At 37.6% G+C, this 23,419-nt stretch overlaps 1 protein-coding gene across 14 annotated transcripts in view; it reads left to right on the forward strand.

Moving 5' to 3' along the window:
• The window catches only part of UBE2U (ubiquitin conjugating enzyme E2 U), a 63,746-nt gene that overhangs the window by 30,178 nt on the left and 10,149 nt on the right, over nt 1-23,419 (forward strand). For 11 of the 14 annotated variants that reach the window (NR_158769.2, NM_001366232.2, NM_001366234.2 and 8 more), the window contains one exon: nt 7,852-7,933. Coding sequence is in view for 12 of the 14 variants with exons in the window: in NM_001366232.2 (NP_001353161.1) it covers nt 7,852-7,933 (82 nt within the window). In the remaining 2 variants the exon portion in view is untranslated. Of the gene's footprint in view, nt 1-7,851; nt 7,934-10,329; nt 12,475-23,419 lie in introns of those variants that run through there. The other 3 variants (NR_158768.1, NM_152489.3, NM_001366235.1) reach the window with 1 other exon arrangement.

Consider the following 23,419-nt stretch of genomic DNA (forward strand, 5'->3'; position numbering starts at 1 on the left):
TTACTGAAATACGACTTTGCTTCAGCCATCCTTCTAAAATGGTGCATTCTGCAGTAGCAGAGACTTCTGAATTCCCAGATGCAGTGATTACGTTTTAGTCCTCTTCTTACTTGCACTCCCATTAGCTGTGCTCTCCTTGATTTACATGATACCATACATCCATGGCTTTTCATCTCCCTTCCTAAGCACACTGCTGCCTCTTCCCTTGGCAATATCTTCTTCATTCAGTCCTCTCTACTTACTCTCTCTGAAAGACCTCTTCCACTACCATGGTTTTCATTTGCTTACAGTCCAGCGATTCCTAAAGCTGCATCTCTAGCCAGATCCCTCTTCTGAATTTTCCATGCATATTTATAACTGTGCAGGGGACATCTCACCTATGTGTATTATAGGCATCTCATATTCAAGATATCTCAAAGTGAATTCATCATCTTGCCCCCAAATCTATCTTTCTTCCTTTATTCCCTCTCTTGGTTAGTGGTAGATCACTAATTTTACATTTTCTTACCAAAGCCAGAATCTTAGATGTTTCCTACATCTCTTTATCTCTCTCATTAAGCCTTGTTGATTTTTATCTGCTGCAACATTATGAATGCTTCCACTCTACTACACCCCCATGACCATTGCCTTAATTTGAAGTCTCTTTATATTTCATCTCATCATTATGATAGTTTCCTATAGTGAAAAATAGTATCAAGTTTTAAGGTACAAATGAGGGCAAAAAATAGTACTAAGCTTAATAAATATCCTTAAAAGGTAAATTAGATCAATAACTTTTAAGAAATCACATGTTCTTTCAGGAGGTTGGCTATTAATTATTTTGTGATTATATATCACCATCCTCACTCATAGGTCAAAACAATTTAAGGTACATCAAGATATACAATCTTTAGCAGCTCTATCAGTATAAAATATTGATTATTTTTGATACCAGAGTACCTGAATGGTTAATTCAGGTCAAAGATTTGTTGTTGAGTGCTGCCTAGTCAATTCAGCAAACACATCTGCTGTGTGTACCTACTATGTATGAGGCACTGAGCAGCTCATATAGGCTGCAGGGGCAATAACCCTTAATTACACAAACACTGTGTTGAGAGACATTAATTGGCACACTCTAGGGAACCACTCAGAGTCAAACTCCTTCCACCAAAAAACAGATTGTTACAGGAGGGTGCTTTCTAGAATAACATGTAAATATATAGGGCCACTTGGAAACTCCAAACTGCTAGAGGAAAAAAAAATAGAAGCATGTGCCAAAACTTAAGGAGATTTGGGAATAATTGTCTTGCAATAAAGAATAATTAAAAAATGGAAGGAAATAATAAGGCACCACTGACCACAGTTTCTTCTTCAAAAAGAGTTTGGCCCCAAAATGTTTAATTTTGTTGTTTCTACATCTTTCACTAACCTAGTATGTGATTCATCCCTGTTTGTAAAGGTAATAACTGGCCATTGTTATCTCTAGCCCAGATGAATTTCTGAGACTTTGAATCTAGCACTTGGTGCATGATTTCACAATCACCCTGCCTCTTCTTCTTCTAGGGAATTGTTATAAGAATGTTTCAAGAGTTTCCTTGAATAATAACCAGCACTTAATTTAAAAAAATTAAATGTAAACTTTACATGTGCTGCTGGCCATTTTATCTTTTGATAGTTCAGCTGGATGAGATCCAACACTATCTTTTTTTAATGGCCTAATTTCCTGGCAATAATAAAGATGAAGCTTTTAGATTATAGAATGCTTCTTCAACAACTCAGAAATAAAAGAGAAACTTCTAATAACTTCATTTTCTACAGTTACATTCTTAGCATTAGAAAGATTATTAAACTCTTGTGCATATTTTTAAGAGCTTTATCTTTTATGAGTAGTGGTAAGTAGTTAAATTTTGATTTGGGGTATTAACTCTTTTCCCTATCTTGTGCCACAAATCTATACATAGTCGTTGGCATCATCATAATAGTAAGTTTATTCTTGTATAATGCAGTTTATGAAGTATGCTCCTATATATTTTTAGCCATCTCAATCTATCATTCTTTTATTCAATTATTCAACCAACATTATTAAGCACCTAATATATGTCGTGCACGGTGGTATATCAACCCTACGTGCCAGGCATTATTATTATTATTACTTTGTTTGAAGATGAGAAAACTAAGACAGAAAAGCTAAGTAATTTACCTAAGGTTACACATGTGAGGGAGAATATCATATGTTGGTAAAGAATGTACATCCTGGAGTCAGATTTACCAGAGTTTCATCCTGGGTCTGCCATTTACTGGCTGTGTGACTTTGGTTAAGTTTCTTAACCTCTCTGTGTCCCAGTTTTCTCATCCATAAAATAAGAATAATCACAGCACATACTTTATAGGGTTGAAGCACTTAAAACAGTGCCCAGCATATAGTGAGTTCTCAATAAGTGAACAATAAGTTCTCAATAAGTGTGTTCTCAATTAATTCGGTAGGCTGTGGTCCAGAGACTGGAACCACATCTTCTCACTCCACATTTGTTGCTCTTTCTCTGATACTCTACTGCCTCCGTAATATGACATCAAATTTTTATCTCTGTATGTATGAGATTTAAATTCAAACTCGGAAGTACATGCAGCATATTTGTAAATAATTATAATTTTTAGTTCATAAGCATAGGCAATCGTATGGAAAATGTACCAAGGATCCACTGTTCTCTCTCCACTGCTATAGAATGGCAAGTAAAAGGTTTGGCAGAGAACAAACCAATACATATATATGGTTGTGGGCAACAGAGCCTTAATGACAGAATATGATCCCCATAAGGAAATGTTTATGTTAGAGGAAAAGAATTCCTCCAGACCAGTGTACTCTTTAATACTGAGCCTAGGCTTCCTGATGTTTGTTTGCTGTCATCAAGACAGACCAAACAGCCTGAAGCATGATGGGGATGTTTGCTTCACCCTAGGAGACTTTTATTCTTTGAGTCGTTAAGCCAGCAATAAGGGCAAGTGTCTCCAAAACACATTTAGATGCAAGAAGCAGTATCATCTGACTCTAATGCAGTGGTTCTCAGTCTTGACTGCTCATGAGAACCACCTGAGGAGCTTGTAAAACTTTCAATATAGATGGCACACCCAAGACCAATTACATCAGGATCTCTGGGAGTAGGACCAGGCAGTAGTAGTTTTTAAAGCTCCCCAGGTGACTACAATGTGCAACCAAGGCTGGGAAGGTCCTAGTGGGAAAAGCATGATGTCAGAAGTTAGAAACTCCTTAGCCCTGTATCAGTTTTGCCATGTGCAGGTAAGTGAATTTAAGGTAGTCACTTAACTGTTTGTACTTTGGTTTTCATTTCTATTGATTGACAAAAATATTCTATCCTCCTTTATGTTGCTCTATGGTTAGCATGTGTGAAAATAGAACATGCTGAGGCAAGTTGGTACTATTGGTTTTTTTGGATGTGACCATCCTAGCAGTGGAAAAAAAAAATTCAGGGCAACCCGTACAGATGTTGGACAAGAGATGTATCATAGAAAAAAAAAAAAAAAAAAGCAGAGTAGAAGCAATGCCCTGGAAGCTGCAGAAGGCACAACAGAAAAGCAAGAAGAACTATACTGTGGATGCAATAGAGGATGCTTTCCTACCACAGATTACAAAATTGCCACAAATGCAAGATATCGTAGTGATGAAGGAATTTCAACGTGCAAAACTTCTGCTAAAATTACATGGTTCCTTTCTTCTCTCTGTCTCTCTCCTGTCCTCATTCTTTCATTGTTTCTCTCCGATCAGTGTCATTCGTTGAGCACCTTCTATATCTAGACAATTGGCTGTGTGTGGGAGATAAGAAGACACATTGTGCTAAGCTCTTCAAGGAGTTTACAGACAAGTGGTAAGAGACAGATGAGTGAAAAAAAACCATGGGGATAAAATATGAGATGTGTTAAAATTTGTACAAAGTACTGTGGCATTTTCATCTCTCAGATGATGGAGAAAGCAATGAAGAAAATGAGTCAATGATATAAAACTAATAGGACTATTCAGGAAAGATGACCGTGTCATTTGGGGTTTCATAATATATAAGGAAGAGACAGCCATACATATTCAAATATAAAATGAGGAAAGGCAATTTCAAAAAGTTTAAGAAAAGATATGAATTATCCTTAAATAGAAACCTCAAAAGGAAATAGCATTCGTGAGAGATTAAATTTTAAATTTTGGCTAAGAGTAATGAAGAGTCCCAATGAGAAGACATTACTCAACCTCTCTATGTCTGTTTGACCATCTGTACAGTGGGTATTCTAATGGTAACCATATCTATTTTACATGTGCCTAGCATATAATAAAAATTCTGGCTGGACACAGCGGGCTTACACTTGTAATCCCAGCACTTTGGGAGGCCAAGACAGGTGGATCAGTTGAGGCCAGGAGTTTGAGACCAGCCTGGCCAACATGGCGAAACCCCATCTCTACTAAAAATACAAAAATTAGCCCGGCATGGTGGCGCATGCCTATAATTCCAGCTGCTCACTGGCTGAGGCATGAGAATCACTTGAACCTGGAAGATGGAGGTTGCAGTGAGCCAAGATTGCACCACTGCACTCCAGCCTGGGTGACAGAGTGAGACTATCTTAAAAAAAAAAAAAAGAAAAGATAAAAAAGAAAAATCTGCTAATGTTAATTATTATAATCATCTAAAGGAAATAATGAGACCTCACAAGAACTCTGGGGAGCTAAGATTTACTTCTTTAATGGAAGGGAGGAGCATATATCCAAATACCAATAAAAAGTATTAATAACGTCTGTAAGAATATGTATGTATGTGTGCTTACATGTGTTTGAAGCAAGAAAATTAAGGAACAGACAAAAATATTACTGGTGAAAATCATGTAAAAAAGGAAACTATTCAGTTAAAAATTTTTTTTTCTATCAATGGCAAATGTCATCAAGCTAAAAGGGGTAAGTTCATCATTATTAAGAAGAAAGCGCCAGGCTGGGCACAGTGGTTCACATCTGTAATCCCAACACTTTGGGAGGCCAAAGCAGGAGGATTTCTTGAGCCCAGGAATTTGAGATCACCCTGGGCAAAATAGGGAGACCCCATCTCTACGAAAAAGTTAAAAATTAGCCAGGCATGGTGGCATGTGCCTATAGTCCCAGCTACTTGGGAGGCTTGAGTGGGAAGATCCCTTGAGCTCAGGAACTGGAGGTGGCAGTGAGCGATGATCATGCCACTGCACTCCAGCCTGGGTGACAAAGTGAGACCCCCATCTCAAAAAGAAGAAGAAGAAGAAGAAGAGGAAGAGGAAGAGGAAGAGGAAGAGGAAGAAGAAGAAGAAGAAGAAGAAGAAGAAGAAGAAGAAGAAGAAGAAGAAGAAGAAGAAGAAGAAAGAAGAAGAAGAAGAAGAAGAAGAAGAAGAAGAAAGCCCCAGACAAGGACAAGACTGGTGGAGAGCATCTAGCTGGTTAAATAGTTCGACTGTAAGCTAAGCTCAGAACAATAATAAGAAATAGGAAAATAGATAAAGTATATATGAGCATATGATCTGGCTTAATAATATTTCATGTAAAAATTACCAGTGCCTTAAACATAGTAGGGTTTTTTTTAATTATTATTATACTTTAAGTTCTAGGGTAGATGTGCACAACGTGCAGGTTTGTTACATATGCATACATTTGCCTGTTGGTGTGCTGCACCCATTAACTTATCATTTACATTAGGTATATCTCCTAATGCTATCCCTCCCCCCTCCCCCCACCCCACGACAGGCCTTGGTGTGTGATGTTCCCCTTCCTGTGTCCAAGTGTTCTCATTGTTCAATTCCCACCTGTAAGTGAGAACATGCGGTGTTTGGTTTTCTGTCCTTGTGATAGTTTGCTGAGAATGATGGTTTCCAGCTTCATCCGTGTCCCTACAAAGTACATGAACTCATCATTTTTTATGGCTGCATAGTATTCCATGGTGTATATGTGTCACATTTTCTTAATCCAGTCTATCATTGGTGGACATTTGGGTTGGTTCCAAGTCTTGGCTATTGTGAATAGTGCCACAGTAAACATACGTGTGCATGTGTCTTTATAGCAGCATGATTTATAATCCTTTGGGGTATACACCCAGTAATGGGATGGCTGGGTCAAGTGGTATTTCTAGTTCTAGACCCTTGAGGAATCACCACACTGTTTTCCACAATGGTTGAACTAGTTTACAGTCCCACCAACAGTGTAAAAGTGTTCCTATTTCTCCACATCCTCTCCAGCACCTGTTGTTAATCATAGTAGGTTTTTAATAAATCTTATATGAATTTGATTGAAGGTATAGGCTTGTAATTAACCACAAACTTAAGAGCCAGTGGTGATGTAATATGAGTTCCAGAAAATACTAATGCAGGTCTGAGCTGAATTGATAGTCCACAGAGCAAGGGAGGTAGTAAGCCCATTTGCATCTTTGCTTCAAACCAATTCAAGGTCCTGATCCAGTTTGGGACACTAACTTTAATAGGAACATCAAAAGAGTTTATCACCAGGGCATTAAGGATGGTTAAGTTTCTAGAAAATCATATCCTAAGAACAAGTTAAAAGAACTGAGGCTTCCCTGTGAGCTATTAGAGGGCTCTCTCTTGTGGGAGAGGGATGAACTTAGTATTGCTCCAGAGGTTAGAACTAAGACCAGTGGAAACTCACAGCAGTCAGATTAAGGAAGGACATTGTAACCCTTATCTGCCAATGGAATGGGCAGTCTCCCAACTACAAAGTGGTGTGTTTTCTGTAGTTTGCAAGTAATTCATTCAGAACCTGGATGATCATCTGTTGGAGATTCTTGCTTTGTGAAGGATCAAGCAAGGTCTTTAATGTCATTTCCAACTTCAAAATTCTAATTTTCTACTTGAAGTGCTGAATTAGAATTTTGTTAAACTATGATGTCTTGGTTTTATATGAGTTATTTTAATACTTTCTTCATTATTGTTGCTCAAAACAAAATTTCTCTTTTTAAATTTTTATTTATTTATTTTTGAGACAGGGTCTCACTCTGTCACACAGGCTGGAGTGCAGTGGCGCAATCTCAGCTCACTGCAACCTCTGACTACTGAGTAGCTGGGATTACGGGTGTGTCCCACCACGCCTGGCTAATTTTTGTATTTTTAGTGGAGATGGGGTTTCACCACATTGGCCAGGCTATATTTCAATAAATTTAAAGATCTAATTGGCTTGCATTAGTGATTCATGAATCAGGCAGCATCTCATCTTAAAAACAGATAAGTGATCTACTGAGCATAGCAGAACAGTTAGTTTTTATAAGGTAACTAGAGCAGGAATAAGAAAACAGAATAATACAAAAATTGGATTGGTTAACATAAGGCACTTCAGTTACTTTCCTTGTAAGGGTTAAAGCACAGGGACTTCCTTATCATGCCACTTCAAGTTGACTGGGCCCCTTCTGACTGGTGGCTGTGAATCTCTTCTTTTGAAAAAACTGATCTGCTTAAGATTGTCCTGCTTCCTTAAAGTTTCAGTTTTATTGCATGACACTTAGCATGAGTAACTCCATTTTGTTTGGTCTGTTAATGCCTAAGGTAGGTGCTCAGTCCAAAACAATGGTCTCCTATAAATTTTATTTAACATGATAAAGGATATATAATGTTTTTCATTATAATGAAAATAACTTCCAAGTCATAATCTATTTCAAACAATATCTAATATTATGATGTTCCAATAAAAGCAAGTAATTTGGAAAGTTTCTAAGGATTGTAATATGACTTGAATTATATAGTGCATGTTATTGCCACATATCAAGTTAATGAGAAGTGAATGATTTTTAACTTTTAACTATTAACTATTATTAAAGAATGTATGTATAGCTTCTTTTTTTAATATTCTAATTTCAGTGCTCAAAGTTCCAAATTTCATTGGACAGTATTACAAATGGAAGAAAATGGATCTACAGCATCAGAAAGAATGGAATTTAAAGTAAGAAATATGAAGTGCCTTGAATGTGTACATTAACTTGAATTGTCTATTATTCCACTTTCTACTATCCAACTTGGAAATAACAGAAGAAACCCTTGGAAATAACAACTTATACCCTTTTCTCAGTATAAGAACAAGAATAAAAGAAATGATCATTTCTTGCTTTCATATGAACCCAGGTAGGAAATATCTTTGCTACATATTTGCTGCCAAAGATGGAGATAGGACATGATCTGCAGTGAAGAAATCTCGTAATATCCTTCCCATTATTTCTCTTACTCTCATTTCCATCATCCTTATCAACATGTGACTTAGAAATAGCTTTTTTTTTAAAAAAAAGAAAAGCAAAAAACTATATATCATCAATTAGCTTTTCATCCTTTTTGTAGCTCCAAACATTGTTTCTTCTCCCACAGATTTCTCATTCAAGACCAAATATATTAAATCTAATGAAGAAGGATATAGTAAAATACAAACATAAATTATTATATCTTTAGAAATCATTGACTCTTAGACCACATTAAGGAAGGAACCTTAATCTCATCTTTGGTCTTTTGACCCCTGAAGGCAGTTTTTCTGCTTCATCATGTTACAACAAAGATGCCATTTCAGTTCTGTGGTATTGGCTGTGTTGTGCTAGTCATTTTTTCTGGTGTGCTCATTCCAAGGTACTCTGAGTGTGTGACCATAAAGGTAGGGGAATTAAAGATCCTATTTTTTGTGTTTATCTCATTTATCTCAATTTTTAGCTCTTCAGTTTACTGTTAACCAAGTGCCCTCTTTTCTAGATGGAAATACACGATGAATAAAGATAACGTGCTGTATTTTGAATTTCTGAAGCAACTGAGGAATTGAATATATTTTTTTAAATTGAGTATATTAAAATGTAATTCCCTATCCTTTAACATCATATAGTTCAGACTGAGTTTTTCAGTTGGATTTTCTTTCTTCTGTTGATTCTGTAACAACTTTCTTTCAAGCTAAAGTAGAGAAAAGCTTTTGCATTTGATATACTTTTCTGCTTTCAGGATAAATTACAGGAAGTAGAAAGTTTTTTATCCAGCAAAATTTGAAGGAGTATAAGCATGTTTTTTTCCTGAAGGCATGTTTTAAGTTTCTTTTAGAGTTGAAGAAACCTACTTAGAATATAAGGTTAATTTTTCTTTGACGTGACTTCCTTTTTTATTTCCTTTAACAGAACTGTTTTATTTGTTTGATCATCGATTCATTATGTAATGCCAACATCCTGCAGAACCCAAAAATTTAGAAAAAGTAGAACCGTGTCATTTTCAATTTATCCATCCACTTCTACATATGGCTAAAATAATTGTGAGCTGTTTGAGTGCTGGAACATTTTTCCAAATACATTATTTCAAAGTTACAGGTCAAATTATCATGTGCATAGTGACCCTGTCAGAATAAAACCCTCACACCTTATGCCATCTGGTGGTTGATGAGAATATATTTAGATCAAGTGATATTTGCTGCTTCAAAACGCTGGTGTTGATTAGTCAAAAACTCCACTATTTAAATGCAGTTTTAAAAAGATATTATATTTATCTGCATTTTATTGTGGCATAAATATTGACTATGCAAATGTTAGAGGTATAGTAAAATCTAAAAAATCTAAAGAATGGCAAAATTCAACTTCTCTTCAAATAATTATCAAAAGTCTTGTGTTCATCAAAATACATGGGGTATGATAAAGAGGACAATTCATAGAGAATCAAGTAGAAAATGTTTGGGGATCTATGCACATGAGTAATTGGTCTATATTGTGCATGCCATATTAAGCATCTCTCAGTTTTTAATATTCGAAAATGCTTTCCTTACGCTGAAATTTCCTGTTTCAAAAAAACAGGAAATGTAAATTGAGAACCCTGTATTTGCATAGCATTGAAGAAAAAGAGAAACCTGTCTCTCCTGCTACTTCCTTCCCTCCCCTCATCAATCAATACCTTATTCTTAAGCCACACTGAATTCTTTTTTCTCACTATTATTTGGGGACCTAAGACCTCCTTACCACGTTGTACCTTCTGCCTCGGATCAGCAAGGTCTTTGCTGCTGGTGTAGAGCTAGGATTTTGTCAGTTAAAAAGTGGAATGTGGAGCTCTTAAGCGCAGGGGCACTGGAGCCAGACTGTCTGGATTTGAATTCTGGCTCTGCCAATTACCAGCTCTGTGACCTTGAGCAAGGTCACTGATTTTTTTTGTGCCTCAGATTTATCTGTTAAGTGGCAGTAATAAGTGTACCTACCTCCCAGGGAAGGTGTGAGGATTAAATAAATTAATATATGTAAAATGCTTCAAACAGTATCTGGTGCATGGCAAGCACTCATAAAGTTCGCTATTATTCATGCTTTTAAAACTTTACTGTGGCCCTCATTCAATTTGCAGATGAAAAATCTTTCTTTGGAAGCAGCATAGGGGAAGAGCATGAGCTTCAGAGTCAAACAGATGTTGGAGAAATTCTTAACCACTCTGAACTTGTTTTTTTATCTGTTAAATGGAGATAACCTTACCTATCTTGCAAAGTTGTTTTGCATTTGACGCTTATTATTTTATATATATGATTTCATTCGAGATATAAATAAAAATTATATAAAAATGTGTATATTATATATCTGTTACATATATAAAATAAAAATTAATATAGCATCACACATAGGCATTCAATAAATTTTAGTTCCTGGGGAGAGGAGGAGATGAAAGTTCATGCCACCCTACTTTTCAGAGAATAAAAACAATCTGTTGGAAACATGTAAAATTTGTCTTTTCTCAGGTTAGAAAACAACACCTATCATAACTACATTTATTGTAGTTCCTATATGCCTCTGGTTCCTTTTCCTTCTCTACTCCACCTCCATCATTTCTTCTGCCTGGTGAAGTGCTTCACAAAGATGTTGTGAAGAGCTGGCCCAAATGTCTTTTTGTAGAGACAGTCACTGACAAGCTCAGGCATTCACAGTTACCCCATCCTCTCTCTCCATATTCTCTGTTCCCATGTCTTTCAGCATGTGTGATGTGGAAATTCATCTGTTCATGAAGAGGGACCAGGGCAGGGATGTTTGTGTCCCTTTGCATTCTCTGTACCTAGCATGGTGCCTGGCAAATAGTAGGCACTCAATTAATGTTAGTTGAAAAACGCATCCTCACCCTGTTTTCTCAATTAGTATTAGGATTAAATGTGAAGAAAGTTCATTTTAGAAAAATAAAATTGAGTTGCAAACTTTTAAGGTTCATTCTAATGTAAAGATTTAGGATTCTATTTTGGGAGTTCTAAGGTGTAGTTGGAAACAGTGATTGAAAACTGGAAATGTAAATGGCTTTCATGAATATTTTATGCAAAATCTCTAATTTGGCAAGTCTTTGTTACTATTAATAGAAACATTGTCATTATAAGCAGCTCATAAATATTCATTAATCAATTATTTGGTTTGGTGTTCCTTTCTAAAGCCTTTTTTCTTTCCTATTGGCTTGAGTGTCTTTTGTATTCATGAAAGTGCTTTCTTTCCGTTAAAGGATACGAATCTGTAATCTAATCAGTAGTTTGTATTTAAGTTCTCCAGAGAAATAGTAAAAGATATAAAATCAGAAAGCAATGAAAGCTGTTCTTTCGAGTGTTCTTGGTTGTGCACATATAAAACTATGTTTGTGCCATACTCTAGCTAATGATTGCTTCTGTGACAACAGAAAAATCTTTATCAGTATTCTAAGCTTTGGCAGCTAGCAAGTTGTCTAAATAAAACTTATCAGTCCTGGTGGTGGTTTACATTCGGTGTAGCTTTAGAAAAGAATATTGCTTCTTGTTTATACCGAGTAGGTATAGAGGGAACCGGAACTAACATGGCTGAGTACTTCCTGTATGCCCGGCGTTCTCCCTTCATTTCCTAATTCATGTTGGCCATCCTGTGGAGTTGACAGTCACACGTGTAAGTGTAACCCACAATAATACCCATCAGCCTCCTTCAAAGCCACAACAAATCAACCTGTACTCCAAGTCAGACCACTTTGCTTGCCTTGTTGACAGCCCAAGACCTGATTCCTAACCTCCTTTTCAATGGATAACCGCTCCTAAGACCCATCCCCCAACCCCTGACGCCCCAGACATTCCGTAAAGGTGGAGATGGATATTATCTCTAGTTTACCAGTGAGAGAAATGGAGGCACAGAGATTAGCGAGTTTTCCTGAGGTTACTGATAAACATAAATTTTATTTGCAAATTAAAACTAAACTGTTTCTTTCTTGCCTACTAATATGTACTTAATAAAAGTTTAAATTGTTCAGGTAAGTGTAAAAATATTGCCTATCCAATCGCAAGCACAATCAAGTGTACATTTTGTGAAAAAGTTGTGTTTTTTCTCAATATTAAATTCTATTATTAAACAATGTTAGTTCTTTTTTTTCTTATATGTAAAAAAAGAACATCTGTGCAATATCAAATACCAATAAAAAAACTTTCTTATATCTGTAAATCCCACTCTGGACTTAGTTGTCCTGTCTTTTAAATTAAGAGACTAATACATATTTTTTCTACATTTCTTTGGTGTCTGATTTTGTGAGCATGTTTTAACTCACAAAAGATAAGTAATCTTTCTTTTGGTATACCTATGTTTGATCCCCTTTATATGGAAAACGTTCATGCTGAGTAGATTCTTTTAATATATGTTCGTGTTGTCCTTTCAGGGTTATTGAATTTAAACATGTTTTTTATAAGTTTACTTAATTATGTATTTAATGCATTTTTTAAGGAGTGCTAGCTTTATTCCCTAAAATTAAACCTTGACTGCCATCTTGTGGTTAACAAGTGAATTAGCATTAGAATGGACACTGCCTGTATTTTTAAATACACACGTGGGAAAAATTATAAACAAAGGGAGGAAAATCCTTTAGGAAAAAATGACTTTTGCCAAGCAACTATTTAGTCTCTGCTTGGATGTTTTTAGAGATAGGAAGCTTGGTAATTCAAGAAGCATTAAATAGCTCTAATCTTCTTCAGTTCTAGCTTGTATCTAACACCTTTTGATAGTCAACCATTCCAGAAATGGGAAATTAGCTCCATTTCATAAAGAAGATGTGCAGAAAAGGTTAAAGAAAATTCCCTAAGGTTATATACTTAGTAACAAAGCTGAAATTCAAATGCAGGCCTGCCAGATACCACAAGCCACGCTTTTTTCCTTAAATCAAGCAGGCACCATGTCAGACACTGAGGACCTGGGGATGGCCTTGGGGATTGGTGGAAGGCAGGATTCAAAGGAGGCTATTAGGGCAGAAAAGAAACTATTGCCACTTGTCTTTGGAAACAACACAAATAAGGCCATTTCTGCTTTGTGAAATTGCCCTTGAAGTCTCAGAAGATAGTTATGTCTTTCTCCTACCTCCTCTTACATCTCTTTTTTAGAATAAACACACTCCGTTCTTTCAGCTGATTTTTATGAATTCAGTATTCTTTATTGGTTCCCTCTTATGGATATAATTCATTCCATCAATTTCTCTCTCCAATGTAGCCTCAAAAAGTTACCATGGATTTCTGGTTGTAGCACAAAATCCAGTGGAACCACCCCTACTATAAACACCATGGCTTAGGGCTTCTCCCTTCCTCTCTCCTGAAAAAGCGGAATTTTAATATGAGTCACAAACATATATGGTGCTAGTTTAGATGTTCCCCAAATCTTATGTTGATATTTGATCCCAGTGTTGGAAAATAGGAGGTGTTTGGGTCATGGGGGCAGATCCCTTATGAAGAGACTAATGCCTTCCCTTGGGCAGGGAAGGAGGGTGGAGGAGTATGGCGGATAAGTAAGTTCTCCATTAGTTCCCGGGAGTGCTAGTTGTTAAAAAGAGCTTGGCAGCTGGGAATGGAGGCTCAAGCCTGTAATCCCAGCACTTTGGGAGGCCAAGGCAAGAAGAATGCTTGAAGCCAGTATTTGAGACCAGCCTGAGCAATATAGTGAGACCTCATCTCTACAAAAAATTAAAAACTTAGCCAGGCATAATGGCACATGCCTGTGGTCCTAGCTAAGTGGGAGGCTGAGGTGAGAGGAACATTTGAGCCCAGTAGGTCGAGGCTGCAGTGAACCATGGTTGTGCCACTGCACTCCAGCCTGGGTGACAGAGCAAGACCTGTCTCACAAAAAAAAAAAAAAAAAAATTAGCTTGACATTTCCCCTCCCTCTCTTGCCTCCTCTCTCGCCTGTGACCTCTGCACACACCGGCTCCCCTTTACCTCTGCCATGAGTGGAAACAGCTTTCACCAGATGCCCAGTCTTCCAGCCAGCAGAATTGTGAGCTAAATAAACCTGTTTTCCTTATAAATTACCCACTCCCAGGTATTTGTAGCAACACTAAACGAACTAAGACAGTTTTAATATGAGTCACAAATACATATGATTTTTTTTCCTAGGAGAACTCCTTCTTTGGTGTTCTGCTCCCACATTTTAATGGGTTCGCTCTCCCTCTACGGCCTTGCTCCCTCTCCTGTCCCTCTTTCTCTCCCCTCAGTCCCCCTCCCTGTGACCAGAGAAATACGATACATGGGTTGGCTTAGGTCCTGCTCAGGTTCTCTGTCTGAGCAGGGTTGAGGCGGGAAGGGCTATATTCCCCAGAGTCATATGAGATTGCATTTTATCAGAAGAAGGCAGGAATGAGAAGGAAGCAAAAAAGTTCCTTTAGAAAATGTTACCAAAAGTCAAATTACTAATGGAAGGATACAGTAAGTTTTATTCTTCTTATTATACATGTAAAGCTCCTTTTCAAGAACATGTTACAATTTGTGGTGCCCCAATCTATGTGAGAAACTTAAAAATGAACAAGCATTAGGGTTTTTCATTTTACTTGTTTTTTTTTTTTACTTAATATTATGACATTTTACTTCACAGTCATTTGATTTGCATATTTTAGTGACATTAAAAATTTTTGTTTTTATAGTTTGTCATTTTAATTATATAAAGGCAAATGGTTGAATAAAGAAGGAAATACTGCTTATACAATTTTTTGAAGACAAAGATTTGTCAATAGGGAAGAAAAGGTATAAATCAAGTTATGTTGTTTTCTAAAGTCATATTTGCCCTGAGGAAAATAAAATCCTAACGGTTTTTTTAAACTTACACAAGCCTCACAAAGAGCTGGAAATCCTGCCAGCTAGAGTGGAGAGACACTATAATTTAACAGACATTGACTAAAATTTAGAAGAGCTGTGCTTTATAGTGGGGCCATATTAGGTATCAAACTGATTTTCACAAAAAACTGAACTGTGAGCCAGAATGAAGAACAATCAGATTTAAAGAAACATAACAAAATTTAGCACCTAATAACCTAAAATTTACAATGTCCAGCAACCCATTGAAAAATCACCAGTCAGCCAGGCGCGGTGGCTCACGCCTGTTAGTTATCCCAGCACTTTGGGAGGACAAGGCGGACAGATCACCTGAGGTCAGGAGTTTGAAACCAGCCTGGCCAACATGGCAAAACCCTGTCTCTATTAAAAATACAAAAAATTAGCCAGGCGCAGTGGTGGGCACCTGTAATCCTAGCTACTCAGGAGGCTGAAGCAGGAGAATCGCTTGAACCTGGGAGGCGGAGGTTGCAGTGAGCCGAGATCATGCCATTGCACTCCAGCCTGGGTGACAGAGTGAGACTCTGTCTCAAAAAAAAAAAAAAAAAAAAATCACCAGTCATACAAATAAGCAGAAAAATATGACCCACAACCAAAAGAAATTACATCAATACAAATAGATCCATAAGTGATAGAGAGGATAGAATTAACAGATACAGACTTTAAAGCAGCTACTATACATCTTATAAAATATACTGAATTATCTAAAGAAAAACATGAATATGATGAAAGAAATGGAAGATATACCAGTGGAATATCTAGAGATAAAAATAAATCAAATATTTAAAAATATATATACTTAATGGGAAGAACAGCAAGTTAGACACTGCAGAAGAAATGACCCATGAACTTGAAAGTGTAGCAATATAATCTCTTTAAAAAAAGATAGAAAAAAAGACTGAAAAGAAACGAAAGAGCCTCAGTGAGCTGTGGGACAATATCAAGTGGTAGAAGATACATATAAATGGTGTTCCAGAGGAAGGGAGAGAAAAAATATTTGAAGAAATAATTATGACTGAAAATTTTCCCAATTTGATGAAGTCTGCAAATTCACAGACCAAGAAGTTCAATGAATCCCAAGAAACAGAAATATAAAGAAGCCATACCAAAGCACATCATAATCAAATTGTTGAAACTCAGAAATGAAGAGAAAAATCTTAAAAGTAGCAAAGGAGAAAAAGAAACCCCACATGTTACACATAAAGGAGCAACGATAAGAATAGCCAAAAACTTCATGTCAGAAGCCTTGCAAGTCAAAATATAATAAATGACAACTTCAGAGTGCTTGAAAGAAATTATTAAACATAGAATTTTATAACCAGTGAAAAGCTCTCTCTAAAATGAAGGTAAAATAAAAACGTTTTTTGACCAATAAATCCAACCACATAGTTGAAATGAACACATTTCTTGAAAGGCAACATCTACCAAGCCTCACTTAAAAAGAAATGAACAACCTGAGTAATCCTGTATCTAATAAAGGAATTTATAGTTAAAAGCCTTCACACAAAGACAACTTTAAACCCAGATGGCTTCACTGGAGAATTTTCCCACACATTTAAGGAAAACATGAATATACACAAACTCAGAAAAAAGAAGGAAACACTTCCCAGCACGTTACAGGGTCAGCATTACCTCAATAACAAAACCAAAGACAGTATACGAAAACTACAAATCAAGAACTGGAAATACCATTTGGCCCAGCCATCCCATTACCGGGTATATACCCAAAGGATTATAAATCATGCTGCTATAAAGACACATGCACACATATGTTTAGTGTGGCACTATTCACAATAGCCAAGACTTGGAACCAAGCCAAATGTCCAACAATGATAGACTGGATTAAGAAAATGTGGCACATATACACCATGGAATACTATGCAGCCATAAAAAATGATGAGTTCATGTCCTTTGTAGGGACATGGATGAAGCTGGAAACCATCATTCTCAGCAAACTATTGCAAGGACAAAAAACCAAACACCATATGTTCTCACTCATAGGTGGGAATTGAACAATGAGAACACATGGACACAGGAAGGGGAACATCACACACCAAGGCCTGTCGTGGGGTGGGGGGAGGGGGGAGGTATAGCATTAGGAGATACACCTAATGTTAAATGACGAGTTAATGGGTGCAGCACACCAACATGGCACATGTATACATATGTAACCAACCTGCAGGTTGTGCACATGTACCCTAAAACTTAAAGTATAATAAAAAATAAATAAATCAATAAATAGGGAATCCTTCCCCGCCCCCCCAAAAAAAGAAAACTACAGATAAATATGCCTCACAGACACAGATGCAAAAATTTTAGTATATTTAATCTAAATATATATATAACATATATAATATAGTTTTAAAATGTGTTAGTTTTTTTGAATGTTAAATCAAGGTTACATTCCTGATATAAACTATACTTGGTCAGGATTAATTATGATAAATAATTGTAAATAATTATGATAATTCATCATGACTATATGGAGTTTATACTAGAAATGTAACATTGGTTTAACATTTGAAAATTTCGAATAATGTAAATTAGTATAAGAAAGAAGAACTATATGATCCTCTCAATAGATGAAAAGAAATTCTGTATCCATTTCTGATTTAAAAAAGAGAAAACTCAGAACAGGGAGTGAATTTGGCATGTTCAAGTGAAGTATCCAGGTTCTCACATTGGGACTGACTAGGCAATCAGTTCAACCCATGGAGAGCAAAGAAAAGCAGGGTGAGGTGAGAGCCCACCCAGGAGCAGCATGACGCCAACAAAATCCCCACCCCAAGACAAGGGAGGCAGTGAGTGAGTGTGTGACCCTGCCCAGGAAACCATGCTTCTCCCACGGATCTTTGCAACTCGTGGATCAGGAGATCCCCTCATGAGCCCCTGCTACCAGGGCCTTGGGTCCAATATACAGAGCTGTGTGTAATCTTAGCAGAGACTCAGGTGTTTTACATAATCTGGTCCTAAAATCCTCCAGTGAGGCACCAGATCCACCCATACATTCCCCTAGGAAGGGGGCTGAATCCAGAGAGCCAAGCAGCACCATCCTGAGGGTCCCACTTTCACAGCACCTCACAAGTTGGGGCCCGCTAGCTTGGAGCTCCAGCCAACCAGCAGCAATAGGCTGAGTCTGCTTAAGACAGAAGGGAGTTCCTGGGGGAAAATGTGGTCACCATTTCTGCAGTTCTGTTGACTCAGCATTCCAGCCTGCCAGCTCTGGAGAGTCCAGGCATTCCAGACGAGGAGGGGTCTCCCCACCAACACAACACACCTGCTTTGCCAGACTGTGCCCAGACTGCTTCTTTAAGCGAGATCCCAGTCCATTCCTTTTCACTACCTCCTGTAGGGGGCCTTCAGTCACTCTAGCCAGGCTTATATGGACAGAACTCTGATCTCACCCTGGGATGGAGCTCCTGAGGGGAGGGGTGGCCACCATCTCTGTGGTTCAGTTGACTCAGTTGTTCCAGCCTGCTGGCTCTGGAGAGGCCAGGTGGTCTGGACGAGGAAGGGTCCCCCTCAATGCAGCACATCTTCTCTACTAAAAAGCAGCCAGATGGCTTCTATAAGTGGGTCCTTGATCCTGTTCCTCCTGACTGGGAGAGACCTTCCAATAGGGGTCTCCAGTCACCTCCTACAGGAGTGTTTGGGACAGCAATAGGTCAGTATCCCTCTAGGATGGAGCTTCCAGAGAAAGGAACAGGCTGCCATCTTTGCTGTTTTGCAGCCCGCACTGGTGATACTTCCAAGTACAGGAAAAGCAGAGGCAACTAGGTTCTGGAGTGGACCCCCAGCAAACCATAGCAGCCCTACATTTGCTAACAGTCAGTGGCCTACCTGTTAAAAGAAAAACAAACAAACAGAAAACAACAACAACAACAAAGACCCCACAAAAACCTCATTCAAAGGTCAGCAACCTCAAAGATTAAAGGTAGATGAGCCCATAAAGATGAGAAAAAGTCAATACAAAAATGCTGAAAACTCAAAAAGCCAGCATGTCTATTCTCCTCCAAATGACTGCAACACCTTTCCAGCAAGGGTACAGAACTGGGCTGAGGCTGAGATGGTTGAATTGACAGAAGTAGGCTTCAGAAGGTGGGTTATAACAAACTTCACTGAGCTAAAGGAACAGGTTGTAAACCAACGCAAAGAAGCTGAGAATCATGATAAAACAATACAGAAGATGATAACCAGAATATCCAGTTTAGAGAGGAACATAAACAACCTGATGGAGCTGAAAAACACAACTTTAGAACTTCACAACGCAATCACAAGTATCAATAGCAGAATAGATCAAGTGGAGGGTAGAATTTCAGAGCTTGAAGTCTATCTTTCTGAAATAAGATAGGCAGATAAGAATAGAGAAAAAAGAACAAAAAGGAATGAACAAAAACTCTGAGATATATGGGATTATGTAGGGACACCAAACCTACAACTGATTGGGGTAACTGAAAGAGATGAGGAGAATGGAAGCAAGTTGGAAAACATACTTCAGGATATCATCCAGGAGAATTTCCCCAACCTGGCAAGACAGGCAAATATTCAAATTCAGGAAATCCAGAGAACCCCAGTAAGATACTCCACAGGAAGATCAACCCCAAGACACATAATCATCAGATTCTCCAAGGTCGAAATGAAGGAAAAAATGTTCAGGGAAGACAGAGAGAAAGGCCAAGGCACCTGTAGGGAAGCCCATCAGACTAACAGTGGACCTCTCAGCAGAAACCCTACAAACTGGAAGAGATTGGGGACCAATATTCAACATTTTTAAAGAAAAGAATTTCCAACCCAGAATTTCATATCTGCCTAAACTAACCTTCGTAAGTGAAGGAGAAACAAGATCCTTTTCAGAAAAGCAAATGCTGAGGGAATTCATCACCACCAGGCCTGCCTTGCAAGAACTCCTGAAGAAAGCACTAAATATGGAAAGGAAAAATCATTACCAGCCACTACAAAAACATACTGAAGTACACAGACCAGTGACACTATGAAGCAACCACATAAACAAGTCTGCAAAATAACCAGCTAGCATCATGATGACAGGATCAAAATCACACATAACAATACTAATCTTAAATGCAAATGTGCTAAACGCCCCAAATAGAAGACATAGAGTGGCAAGCTGAATAAGGAGCCAAGACCCATTGGTATGCTGTCTTCGAGAGACCCATCTCACATGTACGGATACACATAGGCTCAAAATAAAGGGATGGAGGAAAATTTACCAAGCAAATGGAAAACAGAAAAAGGCAGGGGTTGCAATCCTAGTTTCTGAAAACAGACTTTAAACCAACAAAGATCAAAAGACAAAGAAGGGCATTACACAATGGTAAAGGGTTCAATTTGACAACAAGAGCTAATTATCCTAAATATATATCCACCTAATACAGGAGCACCAAGATTCATAAAGCAAGTTCTTAGAGGCCTACAAAGAGACTTAGACTCCCACACAGTAATAGTGGGAGACTTTAACACCCCACTGGCAATATTAGACATATCATCAAGACAGAAAAATAACAAACATATTCAATACCTGAATTCAGCTCTGGGTCAGGTGGACCTAATAGATATCTACACAACTCTCCACCCAAAAACAACAAAATATACATTGTTCTCATTGCCACACAGCACTTACTTTAAAATTCATTGCATAATCAGAAGTAAAACACTCAGCAAATGCAAAAGAACTGAAGTCATAACAGACTTTCAGACCACAGCACAATCAAATTAGAACTCAAGATTAAGAAATTCACTCAAAATTATACAACTAAATGGAAATTGAGCAACCTGCTCCTGAAATTGAACAACATGCTCTTGAATGACTCCTGGGTAAATAAAGAAATTAAGGGAGAAATCAAGAAGTTACTTGAAAGAAATAAGAACCAAGAGATGATGTACCAGAGTCTCTGGGATACAGCTAAAGTGGTGTTGAGAGGGAAATTTATAGCACTAAATGCCCACATCAAAAAGCTAGAAAGATCTTGTTAACAATCTAACATCACAACTAAAAGAACTAGAGAACCAAGAGCAAACAAACCCCAAAGCTAATAGAAGACAAGAAATAACCAAGATCAGAGTGGAACTGAATGAGATAGAGACACAAAAAACCCTTAAAAAATCAACAAATTCAGGAGCTGTGTTTTTGAAAAAAAATTAATAAAATAGACCACTAGCTAGATTAATAAAGAAGAAAAGAGAGTAGAATCAAATAAACACAGTCAGAAATGATAAGGGAGATATCACCACTGACCCCACAGAAATACAAACAACAACCAGAGAATACTATAAACACCCCTGTGCACATAAACTGGAAAATCTAGAAGAAATGGATAAATTTCTGGACACACACACCTTCCCAAGACTGAACCGGGAAGAAATCGAATCCCTGAATTGACCAATAATGAGTTCTGAAATTGAGGCAATAATAGCCTACCAACCAAAAAAAAAGCTCAGAACCAGACAGATTCACAGCTGAATTCTACCAGAGGTACAGAGAAGAGCTGGTACCATTTCTACTGAAACTATTCCAAAAAAAATTGAAAAGAAGAGACTCCTCCTTAACTCATTTTATGAAGTCAGCATCATCCTGATACCAAAACCTGGCAGAGATACAACAAGAAACAAGAAAACTTCAGGCCAATGTCCCTGATGAACATTGATGCAAAAATCCTCAATAAAATACTGGCCAACTGAATCTAGCAGCACATCAAAAAACTTATCCACCACAATCAAGTTGGCTTCATCCTTAGGGTGCAAGGTTGGCTCAACATACACAAATCAATAAATGTGATTCATCACATAAACAGAACTACTGAATAGGCAAAAGCTGGAAGCATTCCCCTTGAAAACCATCACAAGACAAGGATGCCCTCTCTCACCGCTCCTATTCAACATAGTATTGGAAGTTCTGGCCAGGGCAATTAGGCAAGAGAAAGAAATAAAGGGTATTCAAATAGGAAGAGAGGGAGTTATCTTCAAATTATCTTTGTTTGCCGATACCATGATCCTATGTCTAGAAAACCCCATGGTCTCAGCCCAAAAGCTTCTTAAGCTGATAAGCAACTTCAGCGAAGTCTCAGGATACAAAATCAATGTGCAAAAATTGCTATTATTCCTATACACCAATCAACAGGCAAGCAGAGAGTCAAATCATGAATGAACTCCCATTCACAATTGCTACAAAAAGAATAAAATACTAGGAATACAGCTAACAAGGGAAGTGAAGGACCTCTTCACAGAGAACCACAAACCACTGTTCAAAAAAATCAGAGGACACAAACAAATGGAAAAACATTCCATGCTCATGGATAGACAGAATCAATATTGTGAAAATGGCCATACTGCCCAAAGTGATTTATAGATTCAATGCTATTCCCATTAAACTACCATTGACATTCTTCACAGAATTAGAAGAAACTATTTTAAAATATGTATGGACCAAAAAAGAACCCAAGTAGCCAAGACAATCCTAAGCAAAAAGAACAAAGCTGGAGGCATCATGCTACCCAACTTCAAACTACACTGCAAGGTTACTGTAACCAAAACAGCATGATACTAGTACAAGAACAGAGACATAGACCAATGGAACAGAATAGAGAACTCAGAAATAAGACCACACACCTACAACTGTCTGATCTTCAACAAACCTGACAAAAACAAGCAATGGGGAAAGAATTCCCTATTTAATAAATGGTGCTGGGAAAACTAGCTAGCCATATGCAGAAAATTGAAAGTGGACCCCTTCCTTCCACCTTACACAAAAATTAGCTCAAGATGGATTAGAGACTTAAATGTAAAACCCAAAACTATAAAAACCCTAGATGAAAATCTAGGCAATACCATTCAGGACATAGGCACGGGCAAAGATTTCATGATGAAAATGCCAAAAGCAATTGCAACAAAAACAAAAATTGACAAATGGGATCTAATGAAAGAGCTTCTGCACAGCAAAGGAAACTACCATCAGAGTGAACAGACAACCTAAAGAAAGGGAGAAAAATTTTGCCATCTATCCATCTGATGTCTATCCAGCATCTACAAGGGACTTAAACAAATTTACAGGAAAAAAAAAACCATTAAAAAATGGGCAAAGGACATGAACAGAAGCTTCTCAAAAGAAGATATACATGCAGCCAACAAACATATGGAAAAAAGCTCAACTTGACTGATCATTAGAGAAATGTAAATCAAAACCACAATGAGATAATCAAAACCACAGCTCATGCCAGTCAGAATGGCGATTATTAAAAAGTCAAAAAACAACAGATGCTGGCAAGTTTGCAGAAAAAAAGGAACACTTTTACACTGTTGGTGGGTGTGTAAATTAGTTCAACCATTGTGGAAGACAGTGTGGTGATTCCTCAAAGACCT

Source organism: Homo sapiens, chromosome 1, assembly GCF_000001405.40.
Source record: "Homo sapiens chromosome 1, GRCh38.p14 Primary Assembly".
Taxonomy (NCBI): domain Eukaryota; kingdom Metazoa; phylum Chordata; class Mammalia; order Primates; family Hominidae; genus Homo; species Homo sapiens.